The sequence below is a fragment of the Homo sapiens genome, chromosome X (assembly GCF_000001405.40).
Source record: "Homo sapiens chromosome X, GRCh38.p14 Primary Assembly".
NCBI classification, from domain to species: domain Eukaryota; kingdom Metazoa; phylum Chordata; class Mammalia; order Primates; family Hominidae; genus Homo; species Homo sapiens.
In genome coordinates, this window is record NC_000023.11 from 116,102,131 (window position 1) to 116,121,439 (window position 19,309).

General features: G+C 35.9%; 1 pseudogene, besides 1 other annotated feature; it reads right to left on the reverse strand.

The window, feature by feature from the left end:
- API5P1 (apoptosis inhibitor 5 pseudogene 1) lies at nucleotides 2,236–6,367 on the reverse strand (annotated as a pseudogene).
- Nucleotides 3,405–3,970: an enhancer, noted in NCBI's record as "NANOG hESC enhancer chrX:115236788-115237353 (GRCh37/hg19 assembly coordinates)". NCBI's record gives its function as "activates a minimal SCP1, AML or CMV promoter by ChIP-STARR-seq in naive H9 embryonic stem cells {active_cell/tissue: H9 hESC(naive)}" and the evidence as "EXISTENCE:reporter gene assay evidence [ECO:0000049][PMID:30033119]".

Here is a 19,309-nt window from a genome sequence, read left to right on the forward strand (position 1 = left end):
CCTTTTTTTATTTCAATAATTTTTTGGGGAACAGGAGGTGTTTGGTTACATAAATAAGATCTTTGTTGGTGATTTCTGAGATTTTGGTGCATCCATCACTGGAGCAGTGTACACTGTACCCAATATGTATCTTTAATTCCTTGCCAACCCCCACACTTTGCCCTGAGTCCCCATAGTCCATTGTATTATTCTTATGCATTTGTGTCCTCATAGTTTAGCTCCCACTTATAAGTGAGAACATATGATGTTTGGTTTTTCATTCCTGAGTTACTTTACTTAGAATAATTATCTCCAATTCAATTCAGGTCACTGCAAATGCCATTATTTTGTTCATTTTTATGGCTGAGTACTATTACACGGTGTGTGTGTGTGTTATATATATATATATATATGAATTTCTTTATCCACTCATTGATTGGTGAACATTTTTGCAAATTGTGCTGCTATAAACATGTGTAAATATCTTTTTCATATAATGACTTCTTCTTCCCTGGGTAGATACACAGTAGTGGGATTGATGGATCAAATGGTAGTTCCGCTTTTAGTTCTTTAAGGTATCTTCACACTGTTTTCCATAGTGGTTGTGCTAGTTTACATTCCCACCAGCAGTGTAAAAGTGTTCCCTTTTCACCACATCTATGCCAACATCTATTATTATTTGATTTTTTGATTTTGGCCATTCTTGCAGGCATAAGGTGGTATCTCATTGCGGTTTTGATTCACATTTCCATGATCATTAGTAATGTTGAGAATTTTTTCATATGTTTGCTGACCATTTGTACATTTTCTTTTCAGAGTTGTCTATTCATGCCTTTAGTCTGTCTTTTGATGGGATTGTTTGCTTTTCCTTGCTGATTTGTTTGAATTCCTTGTAGATTCTGAATATTAGTCTTTTGTCAGATGTATAGATAATGAAGATTTTTCTCCCACTCTGTGTGTTGTCTGTTTGCTCTGCTGATTATTTCTTTTGCTTTGTAGAAGCTTTTTGGTTTAATCAAGTCCCATCTATTTATCTTTGTATTTGTTGCATTTGCTTTTGGGTTTTTGGTCATGAAGTCTTCACCTAAGCCAGTGTTTAGAAGGGTTTCTTTTTTTTAACGTTATCTTCTAGAATTTTTATGGTTTCAGGTCTTACATTTAAGGTTTTTTTTAATCCATCTTGAATTGATTTTTGTATAAGGTGAGAGATGAAGATCCAGTTTCATTCTTCTACGCGTAACTTGCCAATTATCCCAGCACCATTTGTTGAATAGTGTGTCCTTTCACCACTTTATGTTTTTGTTTTCTTTGCCAAAGATCAGTTGGCTATAAGTATTTGTGTTTACTTCTGGATTCTCTATTCTGTTTTATTGGCCTATGTGCCTATTTTTATACCAGTGTCATGCTGTTTTGGTGACTATGGCCTTATAATACAGTTTGAAGTCAGGTAATATAATTCCTTTAGATTTGTTTTCTTTTGCTTAGACTTGCTTTGGCTATGTGTGCTTTTTTTGATTCCATATGAATTTTAGAATTTTTTTTAGTTCTTTGAAGAATGATGGTGAACTAACCTCCTTGGTTAGGTGTATTCCTAAGGATTTTATTTTCTTGTAGCTATTGTAAAAGTGGTTGAGTTCTTGATTCGATTTTCAGCTTTGTCGCTATTGGTTTATAACAGAGCTAATGATTTGTGTACAGTAATGTTGTATCCTGAAACTTTGCTGAATTCATTTATCAGTTCTGGGAGTTTTTATGAGAAGTCTTTCGGGTTTTCTAGGTATATGATCTTCTCATAAGCAAACAGCGACAGTTTGACTTCCTTTTTACCAATTTGGATGCCCTTTATTTTTTTCTCTTTTCTGGTTGCTGTGGCTATGACTTCCAGTATTATGTTGAATAGAAGTGGTGAGAGTGGGCATTTTTGTCTTGTTCCAGTTCTCAGAGGGAATGCTTTTGACTTTTCCCCATTCGGTATTATGTTGTATACATTGAGGTATATCCCTTGTATGCAAATTTTGCTGAGGGTTTTAATCATAAAGGAATGCTGGATTTTCTCAAATGCTTTTTTGTGCTTCTCTTGAGAAGATCATCTGATTTTTATTTTTAATTCTGTTTATGCTATGTATCACATTTATCGACTTGTGTATGTTAAACCATTTCTGCATCCCTGGTATGAAACCCATTTGAAAATGGTGGATTACCTTTTTGATATGCTGTTGGATTTGGTTAGCTAGTATTTTCTTTTTTTTTTTTTTTAAATTACAAAAGGAAATTTATTTCAAAAGAATAAGGGGACATTTACATTTAAACAAGGTGATAAACAGGTGTCTTGCAAAAGAAAAAAAATCCATGGCATTAAGTTTTTCATTCAAATTCGGAAGCAAAAATAACCTAAGTTGTGCACTATTGCCTTAGGAAAGGGAAGGGGAAGGGTGAGGGATAAGTGAACAGTCAACTCAGTATCAAACTTGAGAAAAGTAAAGTCACTTCTGCTCAGTTTTGAGTTTACAAATGTGCTTATAAAGAGGAAAAGTGGTAAAATTATACTTAATCTTCAAATTTATTTAGCTGTATTCTCAATACAATTTCTGTACTTGAAATGGCTTTGGGCCACTGGCTGATCTATCTCTGAGGTCCAGATTACCTGGTCAGTTTTCAAATGGCAATTTTATATTCCTTTGTTCAGATTCCAAGGGAGTTTAGGCTCAGCTCATGGTCTTTTGGAATGTTTAGAGATTATTACCACCACTCCATAGCCAAGCTGACCAACTTTTGCTCACTTGTATCATTCTAGCCTTTCAGAAATATTTTCCCCATACACATGTGCAGTAATTCTAATAAAGGAGTTTTGCTTCTTCTGCAGTGTAGAGGTAATGGTAATGAAGACACCTGCATTGGAATCACAAACTATTCCTCAAAAAAATTCATCAGACTACTAGAAATGTCATTCAGGCAGTTGATTTGAATAGCAAACTTGGGGAGGAAAGATTAACTGTGAAACAAAAATATACGAAACATTCAAATGCAGAACAAAGGGTCTATGCTACTAAAAATGCCCATGACATTAAACACTCCAAAAACCCCCCATCTGTTGTTTTAACCTAAAAATTCTATTGGCTAACTTATACAATAATTTTGATTAATAACCTGAGAAGTTAAAATCTTGAAAGTGGCAAAAGCAAACAGAGAGAGCATCCCTTACTTATTGGTACCATGTTATCAAGTCACTTTTTCTGGGTAGCCCTGGTTATTAAATTCCAAATTCTAAATTATAATATCTCTTCCTGTAGAAACCTATATGTACATCAGATTCAGTATTTTGGTTGTATTTCACCAATAGCAACTCCAATTTATCTTTGAAAATGCATCCTTTATTTTTAGTTTTAAATAACAATAATCATGTAAGTGCAACTGACTTAGAATCCCTTCCTACTGGGAGTAAAAACCTAAATAACAAGTTAATAACAGATTCAGCCTCAAAAGGATAATCACTGTGTCAGATTACCCGTTCCTGGAATTTAAAAAGTGATTTATGTTGTGTAGTCAAGTTTCATAGCATGTATATATATATATGTCAGGCCTCTGAGCCCAAGCTAAGCCATCATATCCCCTGTGACTTGCATGTATACATCCAGATGGCCTGAAGTAACTGAAGAATCACAAAAGAAGTGATATTTAAATGGCCTGTTTCTGCCTTAACTGATGACATTCTACCACAAAAGAAGTGAAAATGGCCAGTCCTTGCCTTAACTGATGACATTACCTTGTGAAATTCCTTCTCCTGGCTCATCCTGGCTCAAAAAGCTCCCCTACTGAGCACCTTGTGACCCCCACTCCTGCCTGCCAGAGAACAACCCCCCTTTGACTGTAATTTTCCTTTACCTACCCAAATCTTATAAAACGGCCCCACCCCTATCTCCCTTCACTGACTCTTTTCAGACTCAGCCCGCCTACACCCAGGTGAAATAAACAGCCCTGTTGCTCACACAAAGCCTGTTTGGTGTTCTCTTCACACAGACGTGAGTGAAAATACACACACACACACACACACACACACACACCCATGCTTATGTATGTATGTATATTATACATACACATTTCTATTCAAATAGTAAGATTCCATATTCAAAAGTTTGTATCACAATATATGGAAAGGAATTTAGTAAGCCGTGCAAAGCAACTTACTTTCTCCTAAAAATGTAATGTCATTCCTATATTTTAAGGAAGCTATGTAAGTATTTTGCTTTTATGACACTAGGTAGGAATGCTGCACCACTGCCCAGCAGCTTTATTAAACAATTAAAACAAAATGTTAAGATTGACCATTACTCTTCTCCATATATTGGGCAAAAAACTAAGAGGGTAGAGGAAAATCAGTAACCTTTCAAAACTGATGATCTTTATCAGCAGAACTAGACTGAATTTCATTACATTTTAGAATGAACAGCTCTCAACAACAAATTATCAAGATGTTTAAAAGTAAAAGATTCACAATTTGAAGTCTGAATAACGATATTGCAAAAACAAGACAAGATTGCAGACAAAGCATCCAAAAATATCACTGTGGTTTTACCTTGGACACAACCATGGTCTGTTACAAAAGTAGATCATACATACAAAGGTATAAAGAACATTAAGTTTTTAGCTGAAGGCAGCAGTCTGTTTAAAGGGACATCCCCGGCAATTCAATGATTAGTAGAATTTATGTATATTAAGCCCACGACAATGCTGAAGAATGCTGACGTCTTATTCAGTAGAGTCTTCCCCGACTACGATTTCCTCGTGTGCCCCAACCTCGGCCACCTCTACTTCCCCTGAAGGCTCCTCTCATAATTAAAGTTGCTCAAATTGCTGCTATATTTCCCACTGGGAGGGTTATAAATCTGCCTGGCATCTCTTTTTGGTCCTGCTGAAGATTTCTTGGGTGGTGAACCTGAAGTTGTATCTTCACTGGCTCTCTTTTGCCCAATCTCAACCTTTTGTACAGGTTTCCAGGATAGTGTTACTGTGCTCTTATAAGAAGGAGGAATGTGGAAGAGATCCTTGATTAAAGCATTGATATTGTTTGTTATTTTCAATGCAACGACTTTAATCTTGTTCTCTTCTGTTTTTAAGGCCTCACCCTGGAGAGCTTTTACCCTGGAGAGCTAAGCGAAGTTGTCTGATATAAATTTGCAGGCCCCGTGCAAAGTACTGCAGCCTGATTTTGAAATCTTTGAGCTTTTCTGCATTCAGTTTGGCTGTTAAGAAATCTGGATGTTTTCGGCCCAACTAGTGAAAACTATACAACAAACATTCCACATAACTGAACTGTAGCTTGGGTTCTTCATTACCAGCATTCTCTCCATTTTCTGCTTCTTCTGGAGGGAGCGGCATGTATTCCTATAACTTATCAAATAGTTTTCTTAAATTTGTTTCTAGTTTTTCCATGTCACCACAAAATGAACTCATCTCAGCCAACAATTTCAATACCTCCAACTGTATATCAAGACCTTCCACTGGGGTAGTCAAGGTACTGAGGTTAGGGAGAACCTGCTCACAGAAATATGTCACAAACCTTGTGGAATGGATAATTCTAGAGAAGAGGGGTACTGCTTGCCGAGTGCACTGTAAGAGCCTGTACACACAGTCAAGATCCGAGGGATTGAAGGTCTGTTCTAGGTCGGCCTGTTCAGCCACCAACCCTACAAGTTGCTATCTTCCACTCACTGTAAGCTTTTTAGCCCAGACAGTATCTTCATAATAGAACAAATTCTTCACCAGTCACATCTTCTAGGACATTTTGGATTCAGTTAGTATAAGCTCTTTCACTTCCTTTGTTAAGACTTCATCTGGTAAAGTCTTAAGTTTTGTAGAAAGGAATTTAATTGCTCGTTCTCTAACAATGTCCTCTCCTCGAAGTATTTGGCTGAACAACCCACCTAAAGTCCCTTTTGCAACCATTTTAAATATACTTAACAGGGCGTTGTTCACTAGGTTAAATTCTGCAGAGTTATTTGTCTGCAAAAGTTGCATTAATATATCTGCCACTCGAGGAAGATTTTCTCCAGTGGCAAATTGAGGCAGTTCTTTAATTGCTTGACGTCGAATAGATACATCTTCATCCTCACAGAGGTCTAACAGTGCATTGATAGCAGACTCAACCAATTCTGGAAACTGCTTAAAGAATTTCGGAATAAATTGGGCTACTAATCGTTTTTCCTTAGTACCACCTTTCACACCACCCGGTATCACTTCATAGGCATTTTTATGCTGGACCACTTGCTCCATGGCATCGGCCAGGATGCCATAATTGCGGTAAAGCTCCTCTACGTTCGGCACAGTGAGTGACAAGCCCAGGGCCCGCTTCCGCTATCCTTGTCCTCACCGGCGCCACTGCCGCCTCGGACGGTTAGCTGGTATTTTCTTAAGAATTTTTGCATCCAAATTCATCAGGGATGTTGGTCTGTAGTCTTCTTCTTCTTTTTTCTTCTCTCTTCTTCTTTCTTCTTCCTTCTTCTTCCTCCTCCTCCTTCTTCTTCTCCTTCTTCTTCTCCTTCTCCTTCTTCTTTTTCTTCTTCTTCCTCCTCCTCCTCCTTCTTCTTCTCCTTCTTCTTCTCCTTCTCCTTCTTCTTTTTCTTCTTCTTCCTCCTCCTCCTCCTCTTCCTTCTTGCTTCTTTCTTCTTTCATCTTTCTTCTTTTTCTTTTTTTTTGTTATGTACTTTCTTGGTTTTGGTATTAAGGGGATACCGGATAGAATGATTTAGGGAGAATTGCCTCTTTCTCTATCTTTTGGAATAGTTTCAATAAGATTGGTACCAATTCATTTTTCAAAGTCTGATAAAATTCAACTGTGAATTTGTCTGGTCCTGAATTTTTTTTTATTGGTAATTTTTCAATTACCATTGCAATCTCGCTGCTTGTTATTGATCTGTTCAGTTTCTATTTCTTCCTGGTTTAATCTGGGAGGGTTGCATGTTTCCAGGAATTTATCCACTTTCTCTAGGTTTTCTAGTTTATGCACATAAAGGTGTTCCTAGTCGGCTTGAATGATCTTTTGTATTTCTGTGGTGTCAGTTGTAATGTCTCCCATTTTGTTTCTAATTGAGCTTATTTGGATCTTCTCTCTTCTCTTCTTAGTTAGTCTTGCTAATGGTCTATCGATTTTATCTTTTTGAAAACCAGCTTTTTGTTTAATTTATTTTTTCATTTTTATTTCATTTAGTTCTGCTCTGATATTTCTTATTTATTTTCTTCTCCTGGGTTTGGGTTTAGTTTATTCTTGTTTCTCTGTTTCCTTAAGGTATAACCTTAGATTGTCTATTTGTGCTCTTTCTGGCTTTTTGATGTAGGCATTTAAGGCTATGAACTTACCTCTGAGCTCTACCTTTGCTGTATCCCAGAGGTTTTGATGGGTTGTGTCACTATTATTGTTCAGTTCAAATAATTTTTTAAAATTTCTATCTTGATTTCATTGTTGACCCAACAATCATTGAGGAGCAGGTTATTTAATTTTCATGTATTTGTGTGGCTTTAAAGGTTCATTTTGGAGTTGATTTCCAATTTTATTCCACTGTGACCTGAGAGAGTACTTGATATAATTTCCATTTTCTTGAATTTTTTGAGACTTGTTTTGTGGCCTATCAATCATATGGTCTATCCTGGAAAATGTTCCAGGTGCTGATGAATAGAATGAATATTCTGCAGTTGTTGGGCAAAATGTTCTGTAAATACTTGTAAAGTCCATTTGTTCTAGGGTATAGTTTAAGTCCATTTTTTTTGTTTACTTTTCATCTTCCTGACCTGTCAGTGGAGTATTGATGTCCCCCACTATTATTGTGTTGCTGTTTATTTCATTTCTTAGGTCTAGTAGTAATTGTTTTATAAATTTGGGAGCTCCAATGTTAGCTGCATATATACTTAGGATTGTGATACTTTTCTATTTGACAAATCCTTTTATAATTATTTCACTTTCTTCTTTGTCATTTTTTAACAGCTGTTGCTTTAAAGTTTGTTTCATCTGATATAAGAACAGCTGTTCCTGCTCACTTTTGGTGTCCATTTTCAAGGAATATTTATTTTCCATCCCTTTACCTTAAGTTTGTGTGAGTCCTTATATGTTAAGCAAGTCTCTTGAAAACAGCAGGTACTTGGTTGGTGAATTCTTATCCACTCGGCCACTTTGTATCTTCTGAGTGGAGCATTTAGGCCATTTACCTTTAGTGTTAGTATTGAGATGTGAGGCACTATTTTATTCATTATGCTATTTGTTGCCTGAATACCTTGTGTTATTTTAAAATATATTGTATTTTTGTTTTGTAGGTCCTGTGAGATTTATGCTTTAAGGAGGTTCTATTTTGGTGTATTTTGAGGATTCATTTCAAGATTTAGAGCTGCTTTTAGCAGTTCTTTTAGTACTGGCTTGGTAGTGGAGAATTCTCTCAACATTTGTTTTCTTAAAAAGACTGCATCTTTCCTTCATTTAGAAGCTTAGTTTCACTGGATCTAAAATTCTTGGCTGATAATTGCTTTGTTTAAGGAGGATAAAGATAGGGCCCCAATCTCTTCAAGCTTGTAGGGTTTCTGCTGAGAAATCTGCTGTTAATCTGATAAGTTTTTCTTTATAGGTTACCTGGTGCTTTTGCCTCACAGCTCCTAAGATTCTTTCCTTCATCTTCACTTTAGATAACCTGATGATGATGTGCCTAGATGATGAGCTTTTTGTAGTAAATTTCCCAGGTGTTCTTTGAGCTTCTTGCATTTAAATGCCTAGATCTCTAGCAGGGCTGAGGAAGTTTTCCTCAACTATTTCCCCAAATATGTTTTCCAACATATTAGATTATTGTTTAGATTTATTTATTTAATTATTAGAAAGTAGTTAGATTTGTCTTATTTCTCAACTTTTTGGAAGCTTTGTTTATTTTTCTTGAGTCTTTTTTCTTTGTTTTTGTTGGATTGGGTTAATTTGAAAACCTTATCTTTGAGCTCTGAAGTACTTTCTTCTGCTTATTTGATTCTATTGCTGAGACTTGCTAGTGTATTTTGCATTTCTCTACATGTTTTCTTCACTTCCAGAAGTCGTGATTTTTAATTTATGCTATCTATTTCACTGAAGATTTTTCCCTTCATATGTTGTATCATTTTTTTTCATTATGTTGGACCTCACCTTTTTCTGGTGCCTTCTTGATTAGCTTGATAATTGACCTTCTGAATTCTTTTCCTGGAAATTCAAGAATTCCTTTTTTGTTTGGATCTTTTGCTGGTGAGCTAGTGTCATCTTTTGAGTGTGTTAAAAAAAACTTTGTTTTGTTGTATTACCAGAATTGTTTTTCTGGTTTATTCTCATTTGGGTAGAGTATCTAAGAGGGAAGATTTCGGGCTCAAGGACTGCTATTCAGATTCTTTGTGCCATGGGGTCCTCTTTTGATGTGGTGCTCTCTCTCTTCTCCTAGGGATGTGGCTTCCTGAGAGTCAAACTGCAGTGATTGTTATTTTACTTCCCGATCTAGCCACCCAGCAGAGCTGCCGGGCTCCAGGCTGGGGTACTGGGGAGTGTCTGCACAGAGTCTTGTGATGAACTGGTTTTGTGCTGGCTGGCCTTCAGCCAGGAGGTAGTGCTTTCAAGAGAACATCAGCTGTAATAGTATAGAGAAGATCAGGCGGTGGGCTGAGCCCTACAGCTCCTAAGAGATTAAGTCCTTTGTTTTCAGCTACCAGGGCACAGGGTGGGTAGAGAAAGACCATCAGGTGTGTGCAGCATTACACATGTCTGAACTCAGACTCTCCTTGGGTGGGTCTTGCTCCAGCAATTGTGGGGGATTGGGCTGTGGTTCTCAGGCCAATGGAATTATATTGCCTAGGGAATTATGGCTGCCTCTGCTGTGTCATGCTGGTCACCAGGGTAGTGGGGGAAAGCTGGCAGTTACAGGTCTCACCCAGCTCCCATGCAGTTCAAAAGGCTGGTCTCACTTCTGCCATGCCCCTGCAACAGCACTGAGTTTATTTCCAGGCAGTAGGTGAGCAAGGCTGGGAACTTGCCCCAGGTTACCAGCTTCCCCACTTTGAAAGCAAGCTGGGTTTTCATGTTTCCTGCCTCCCCACCTGCTGTGGCTTCTGTGGTGTGTCTGCATTCCTGATTCACCCCTTCCCCTGGGTTCTGTCCAGGAAAATTAATGTTCAGTCAAAATTTTTACAAAGTTTTGCTGGCAGTTTTCTTTTCCCTGTGGTCTTTTCCTAGTTACCCTGGAAGCCCTCCCCAAGGACCTCTGCAAGTGAAAGTCAGAAATGGCTTCCCTGGGGACCAAGAGAGCTGACAGAGCTCTTCCTGTTGCTTCTTCTACTCCTGTATTTCACTTGGCTCTCTAAATTTGTCTTAACTCCCAGTAAGGTCAAATTCTTCTCTCGTGATCTGGACCTTCAGGTTCCCCAGTAAGAGTGTGTGTTTGAGTGTGGATAATTCCCCTTTTATACTTTCACACTTTGGACACTTACAGTTTTTGGGCTGTCTTTCAGGGCCTACAGTAGCAATCTGCTTCCTTCAAAGGGTCTGTAGATTCTCTTGGCTTTCCTGGCATGTTTCTGCAGTAGTTCTTAGAGCAAAAATTTACAATGTGAGTCTACATGCTGCTCTGTCTGTCCAATTGGAAGCTGCAATTTAGTCCTGCCTCCTATCTGCCATTTTCTCATAAAATCTGAACAATTTCTTGGAATGAATGAGTATAAAAACACAACATACCAAAACCTATGGAAGCAGTGCTTGGTCCCTCCTACAAAACGTGTGAATTATGGGAGCTACAATACAAGATAAGATTTGGGTGGAGTCACAACCAAACCATATCATTCCATCTCTTGCCCCTCCCAATTCTCACGTCCTCACATTTCAAAACCAATCATGCCTTCCAAATGGTCCCCCAAAGTCTTAACTCATTTCAGCATTAACTAAAAAGTCCACAGTCCAAAGGCTCATCTGGGGCAAGGCGAGTCTTTTCTGCCTAGGAGCCTGTAAAATCAAAAGCAAGTTAACTACTACTTAGATACAATGGGGATACAGGCATTAGATAAATACCCCAATTCCAAATAGGAGAAAATGGCCAAAACAAAGGGGCTAGAGGCCCCATGCAAGGCTGAAATCCAGCGGGGCAATCAAATCTTAAAGTTCCTAAATGATCCCCTTTGAATCCATTTCTCACATCACATCTCACATCTCATGGTCCTTTGCAGCTCTGCCTCTATGGCTTTGCAGGGTACAGTCTCCCTCCCAGCTGCATTCATGGGCTGGCATTGAGTGTCTGTGGCTTTTCCAGGTCCACAGTGCAAGCTGTCAGTGGATCTACCATTGTGGAATCTGGAAGAGGGTGGCCCTCTTCTCACAGCTCCACTAGGCAGTGGCCCAGTGCATACTCTATGTGGGAGCTCACACCCTACATTTTCCTTCTGCATTGCCCTAGCAGAGGTTTTCCATGAGGGCTTTGCTCCTGTGGCACACCTCTGCCTGAACATCCAGGCATTTCCATGAATCCTCTGAAATCTAGGCAGAGGTTCCCAAATCTCAGTTTCTGACTTTTGTGCACCTTCACACCCAACACCATATGGAAGCTCTCATGGCTTGGGGCTTGCATCCCCTGAAGCCATGGCCTGAGCTGTACCTTGGTCAGTTTTAGCTATGGCTGAAGCAGTTGAAATACAGGACACCAAGTCCCTATGCTGCATAGGGCAGGGAGGCCCTAGGCCTAGCCCAGAAAACCATTTTTTTCCTCTTAGGCTTCTGGGCCTGTAATGGGAGGGGCTGCCAGGAAGGTCTCTGGCATGCCCTGGAGACATTTTCCCCATTGTCCTGGCAATTATCATTTGGCTCCTTGTTACTTATGCAAATTTCTACAGCCAGCTGGAATTTATCCTCAGAAAATGTGTTTTCCTTTTCTATCACATTGTCAGGCTTCAAATTTTTTGAACTTGGGGGAAAGGGTAGGAGAGGGGTGAAGGATAAAAGACCACAAATTGGATACAGTGCATACTGCTTGGGTGATGGGTGCACCAAAATCTCACAAATCACCACTACAGAACTTACTCATGTTACCAAACACCACCTGTTCCCAAAAACCTATGGAAATAAAAAAATACAATAAAAAAGATATAAACTAAAAAACAATTATGGCCGGAAGTGCTAGTATTTTACATTGCTTGATGGCAGTAGATATGCTTTAGAAACCAGATTAATTACATTATAATGTTAACAAAGGGAAATTAATTTTTCTCAGCAGACATTATTTTTTCTTCCCTTAACTTTCAAGCAAACAAATTAAAATTATTTAAGGGCTACTAGGGCAACATTTATGATGGGTAATTCAAGGCTGACAAGAATTTTGTTAATCTGTGATTTTTAATATAGGTGGCAATGATATAATAATAGCATTAGAGCTAAACTCCCAGGATTCAAATCCCGGTTGTCACTTGTGAGCTGATGGCCCTGGTAAATGGACTTCATATCTCTCTGTCACGGTTTTGTCACTTGTGAATTAAAGATGATGATGGTGATGATAAAAAGTATCATTTATCAAAAGGCTGTTGTGAAAATTAAAGAAATTATTGCATCCAAAAAACAATTCTTAACCTCAGCTGCACATTGCAATCACCTGGTGAGTTTAAACACTACTAATGCTTGGACTGATACCACACATAGATATTCTGATTTAATTGGTTTCCAGTGAGACCAGGTCATCTAGAATTTTATAGTTCCCCAGATGATTCTAATTTGCATCCAAAGTTAAAATCCTGTGATTTAAAGTAATTATAAGAGCACCTGGGAAATATTAAGCACTTGGTAGGTGTCATTATATTAAGGTTCATATGTTAAGATGATAGCTTTCTTAATTCAAAAAACATAATATTGGAAAGCCATGTGTGAATAGCAATTGCTTTTTACATATTTTTGTTAACATAATTTTCTATTCTCAATTGTATAATCAACTTAAGATTTTTTTGTTTCATTTACACAACTTATTTCCACTCTAGACCACTTTCTTTTTTACTCTGGCAGGGAGAGGCAATCTGTAATACAATAACATTGACCTGATGAATGCAGATAAGTGTGCAATGTGTTCCAGATTTATTTCATTAGGCATCTTTTAAAAGTACTAAATTCAAAAGGTTTTTTTTTCTTGTCCCATTTTGATTTATCCAACTAGCCCTAGATGACTGATTTATAGGGGAATCAACCTCCTAGTCCATAGATAGCCCATGCACAAGGTCTTAATAACCTCTCATCTACCACAACATTGAAGTCATTTGATGATTATCTTATTATGTACAATGAGTTCATAGAGAATAAAGGATTTTCAAGTTGTAGTCATATTTTTAAAAACAGCGTGGTCCTTAAGAGAAGATAAAATTGTAAATTATTAAGGAGATAAATCATGACAAAGAAGGAAGAAGTTCTTGCTATGAGTTCATAATGCTCCTCCTGTAGTTGACTGAACTTAGTGTCTGACTCTGTACTAACACATTTTCATCTTATGTGTAGAAAGTATAAAGCCGAAAAACTTTGAAATTATAAAGATTTACTTCATAAAATATAGGTTTATTCCAAACATCTCATACCAAAATTCAGAGCTTACACATTAAAGGCTCAGTTTAGCCACATTCCACGGGCAAAACATTAGCCTTTAGAACATATAAAAAATTTTCTACCATGTTTAGAATTTACAACTATGAGTTTTATTAAAGCTTAACTGAAACTGTACATGCTGGTTGAATGAGATGACCTAAAATTGGCAAATTATTTCTTTCAGGTAGAAGTACTCAATAACCAGACAATTCTTTGTTGTATAAGAGTCTGAAGGTTTTTAAGACTCTTAACATTTAAGACGTCTTAACATTTAAGACGTATAATGTTTGGTTTTTAATTCCTAAGTTACTTGCTTTGAATAATCTCCAATCTCATCCAGGTTGCTGGAAATGCTATTAATTTATTCCTTTTTATGGCTTAGTAGTATTCCATCATATATATATGTATGTGTATATATATGTATACACATATGTATACATATGTGTATACATATATGTGTATATATATGTATACACATATGTATACATATGTGTATACATATATGTGTATATATGTATACATATATGTGTATATATGTATACATATATGTGTGTATATATGTGTGTATATATGTGTGTATATATATGTGTGTATATATAAGACTTAACATTTAAGACGTCTTAACATTTAAGATGTATAATGTTTGGTTTTCAATTCCTAAGTTACTTGTTTTGAATAATCTCCAATCTCATCCAGGTTGCTGGCAATGCTATTAATTTATTCCTTTTTATGGCTGAGTAGTATTCCATCATATATATATGTGTGTATATATGTGTGTATATATGTATATATATGTATATATATGTGTGTATATATGTATATATATGTATATATATGTATATATATGTGTGTATATATGTATATATATGTATATATATGTATATATATGTGTGTATATATGTGTATATATATATAGGACATGACTAGATAATTCTCAAAAGAAGATATACAAATGGCCAATAATAAATGAAAAAATGATCAACATTACTAATGATCAGGGAAATGCAAATCAAAATCACAATGTGATACCACCTAACTCCTGCAAGAATGTCCATAATCAAAAAACAGTAGATGTTGGAATGGATCCAGTGATCATGGAACACTTCTACACTGCTGGTGGGAATGTAAACTACTACAACCACTATGGAAAACAGTGTGGAGATTCCTTAAATAACTAAAAGTAGAACTACCATTTGATCCAGCAATCCCACTATTAGGTATCTACCCAGAGGAAAAGAAGTAATTATATAAAAAAGATACTTACACATGCATGTTTATAGCAGCACAATTCACAATTGCAAAATCATGGAACCAACCCAAACGCCCATCAATCAACGAGTGGATAAAGGATCTGTGATATATATATAGTATAGTACAGTATAGTAGCATTCCATTATATATAAATGTATATATACATACATGTATATATACATATATATGTATTTCATCATATATACATACATGTATATATACACATATATATGATGGAATACTACTATACTATATGATATACATATATACATATATATGTACATGTGTATGCATATATATGTATTCCATCATATATGCATACATGTATATATACATATATACACACGTATATATACATACATTTATATATAAACATATATGACGGAATATATGTATATATACATGCATGTGCATATGTATATATACAGGTACATATGTGTATATGTATATATACAGGTACATATGTGTATATGTATATATACATGTACATGTGTATATACATGGATGTGTATATGTGTATACACATGTGTATATACATGTATGTGTACATGCGTATATACATGTGATTATATGCATATACATATATGTGCATGTATGTATATATGTATGCGCATATATGTATATACGTGTGTGCATATATACATGTGGGTGCATATATGTATATATGCATGTAAGTGTATATGTGTATATATGCATGTATGTGTATGTGTATATATGCATGCATGTACATGTGTATATATACATGCATGTGTATATGTGTATATATACTTGCATGTGTATATGTGTGTATATATACATGTATGTGTATGTGTATATATACATGTATGTGTATATGTGTGTATATATACATGTCTGTGTATATGAAGATTTTTCTCCCTATTTTATGGAGGATTTTTACATCAATATTCATCACAGATATTGACCTGTAGTTTTCTTTTTTTGATGTGTCCTTGTCTGGTTTTGGTATCAGGGTCATACTGGTTGTTTATAATGAGTGTGAAAGTATTTCTTCCTCTATTTTTTGAATATTTTGAATAGGATTGGTATTAGTTCTTATTTAAATGTTTGGTAGAATTCAGCAGTGAATCAATTGGGTCCTGAGATTTTCTTTACTCGGAGATTTTTTATTATGGCTTTGATCTCAATAGTTGTTATTGGTCCATTGCAGTTTTGGATTTCTTCCTGGTTCAATCTTGCTAAGTTATATGTATCTATGAATTTATCTATTTCTTCTATGTTTTTAAATTTATTGGCATATTGTCACTCACAGTAGCCACTAATGATTCTTTAAGTATCTGCGGTATCTGTTGTAGTGTTCCTTTCTTATTTTTGAATTTACTGTTTGAATTTTCTCTCTCTTCTTTAGTCTGGCTAACGGTTTGTAAATTTTCTTTAACTTTTCAAAAAAACATTTTGTTTCACTGATCTTTTATATTGCTTTTTAATTTCAATTTCACTTATTTCTGTTCTAAAGTTTATTACTTATTTTCTTCTATTAATTTTGTGTTTGATTTGCTCTTGCTTTTCTAGTTATTTAAAATGCATTGTTAGTTTATTTGAATTTTTTCTCTTTTTTGATGTGGGCACTTATAGCTGTAAACTTCCCTCTTAGTACTACTTTTTCTGTATTCCATAAGTTTTGGTATGTTATGTTTCCATGATCATTGGTTTCCAGAAATTTTAATTTTACATTTTACTTTCTTCATTGATCCACTGGTCATTCAGGAGCATATTGTTTAATTTTCACATATCTGCATAGTTTCCAAAATTTGTCTCTTTATTAATTTCTAGTTTTATTCCATTGGGATCAGAGAAGATGCTTGATATTATTTCAATTTTTTGAATGTTTTAAGACTTGTTTTGTGACCCAAAATATGCTCTGTTCTTGAGAATAATTCATATAATGATGAGAAGAATGTATGTTTTGCAGCTCTTAGATAAAATGTTCTGTAAATATCTGTTAGATCCATTTGGTCTATGGTGAAGATTAAGTCTGATGTTTCTTTGTTGATTTTCTTTCTGGAAGATCTGTCTAATGCTGACAGTGGGGTGTTGAAGTTTCCAGCTATTATTGTATTGGAGCCTAAGCCTGTCTTTAGCTCTAATAATATTTTCTTTCTATATCTGGGAGCTCCAGTGTTGGGTGCATATATATTTAAAACAGTTATATTCTCTTGCTGAACTGACCCCTCCCATTTATCATTGTATAGTGAACTTCTTTGTCTCTTCTTATAGTTTTTGTGTTCAAATATATTTTGTCTCATATAAGAATAGTGACTCGTTATTTTTTTTTTCTTTGGCATAGAACATCTTTTTACAGCCCTTTATTTACAGTCTATGTGTGTCTTTATAGGTGAAGTGTGTTTCTCTTAGGTAGTAGATCAATGGGTTTTGTTTTTCCATCCATTCAGCCACTCTATGTCTTTTGATTGGGAAGTTCAGTTCATCTACATTTAATGTTATTATTGATAAGTAAGGTCTTACTCTTGCCATTTTTTTATTTGTTTTATAATTTTTTTTGTGGTCTTCTGTTTTCTACTCTCTTTCATTCCAATCTTCTCGTAATGGAGGTAATTTTCTCTGGTGATATGATTTAGTTTCTTTCTTTTATTGTTTTGTGTATCCCTTGTAAATTTTGGCATTTGTCATCAACCTGAGACTTAGCATATATGACCTTATAATCTATTATTTTAAGATGATAATGATGCTATTTGGATGAACAAAGAAGCAAAAAGACAACTAATAGAAACTCTATACCTTAACTTTGTTCCCCCAATTTTTAACTTTTTCTTGTTTTCATTTAAATCTTATTGTACTGTCAATGTCTTGAAAAGTTGTTAAAGTTATTGTTTTTGATTGGTTTATCATTTAGTCTTTCTAGTTAGGATAAGAGTAGTTTACACATCACAGTTACAGTGTTATAATATTTTCTGTGTACTTATTATTCCCACTTTAGTATTTCTTGTAGGATCGGTGTGGTATTGATGAAATTCCTCAGCTTTTGTTTGTCTGGGAAAGTCTTTATTTTACCCTCACGTTTGAAAGAAAATTTTGCTAGATTTACTATTCTAAGCTAAAAGTTTTCTTCAGTACTTTAAATATTTCATACTGCTCTCTCAAGGCCTGTATGTTTTCTGCTGATAAGTCTGATGCCAGATGTATTGGAGCTTCATTGTATGTTATTTGTTTCTATTCTCTTGCTTCCTTCAGAATCTTTTCTGCCTCCTTGACCTTTGCAAATTTAGTTATTAAATGCCTTGAGGTAATCTTCTTTGGGTTAAATCTGCTTGGTGGTTTGTAACTTTGTTGTATTTACATATTAATATCTTTCCCCAGCTTTGAGAAGTTGTCCGTTATTAACTCTTTGAATAAGCTTCCTACCCCTATCTTTTTCTTTACCTTTTCTTTAAGGTCCATAAATCTTAGATGTGTTTTTTTAGGCTATTTTTTAGATCCTGTAAGCATGCTTCATTGATTTTTATTCATTTTTGTTTTGTCCTCTTTTATGGTATATATTCAAATAGCCTGTCTCCAAGTTCACTAATTCTTTCTTCTGCTTGTTAATTTATGTTGTTAAAAGATTTGGATGGATTCTTCAGTGTGCCAACTGTGTTTTTCAGCTCTAGAATTTCTGCCTTATTCTTTTTAATTATTTCAAACTCTTTGTTAAATTTATATAATAGAATACTGAATTCCTTTTCTGTGTTATCTTAAATTTCTTTGAGTTTACTCAAAATAGCTCTTTTTCTCTAGGACTGGTCCCTGGTGTCTTAGGTAGTTTATTTGGAGAGGTCATGTTTTCCTAAATGGTGTTGATGCCAGTAGATATTATGCAATGTCTGAGCATTGAAGGGCTAGGTATTTATTGTAGTCTTTACTGTCAAACCTTGTTTGTAACCATCTTACTTGGGAAAATTTTTCAGATACTCAAAAGGGCTTGGGTGCAGTCACCTAAGCTCTGTTTGCTTTAGGGGATGCCCATAGTCCAGTAATACTGTGGTTCTTGCAGATTATAGAGGTACTGCCTTGACAGTTTTGAACAAGATTTGGGATTGAACACGATTAGGGATTCTTTTTCAGTTTTGAATAAGAATCTATGGATTCCCAGGCAGAGACTCTTTTTCCTTTCCATTTCCTTCTTCCAAACATGCAGAGTCTCTTTCTCTCTGTTCTGAGCCAACAAAATCTGGGAGTGGAGTAATACAAGCACCCCATAGCCACCACCACTATGACTGCACTAGATAAAAACTGAAGCCAGCGGAGGTGGAGCCAAGATGGCCGAATAGGAACAGCTCCAGTCTACAGCTCCCAGGGTGAGTGATGCAGAAGATGGGTGATTTCTGCATTTCCAATTGAGGTACTGGGTTCATCTCACTGGGGAGCGTCAGAAAGTGGGTGCAAGACAGTGGGTGCAGAGCACCGAGCATGAGCTGAAGCAGGGCAAGGAAGCACCTCACCTGGGAAGTGCAAGGGGTCAGGGAATTCCCTTTCCTAGTC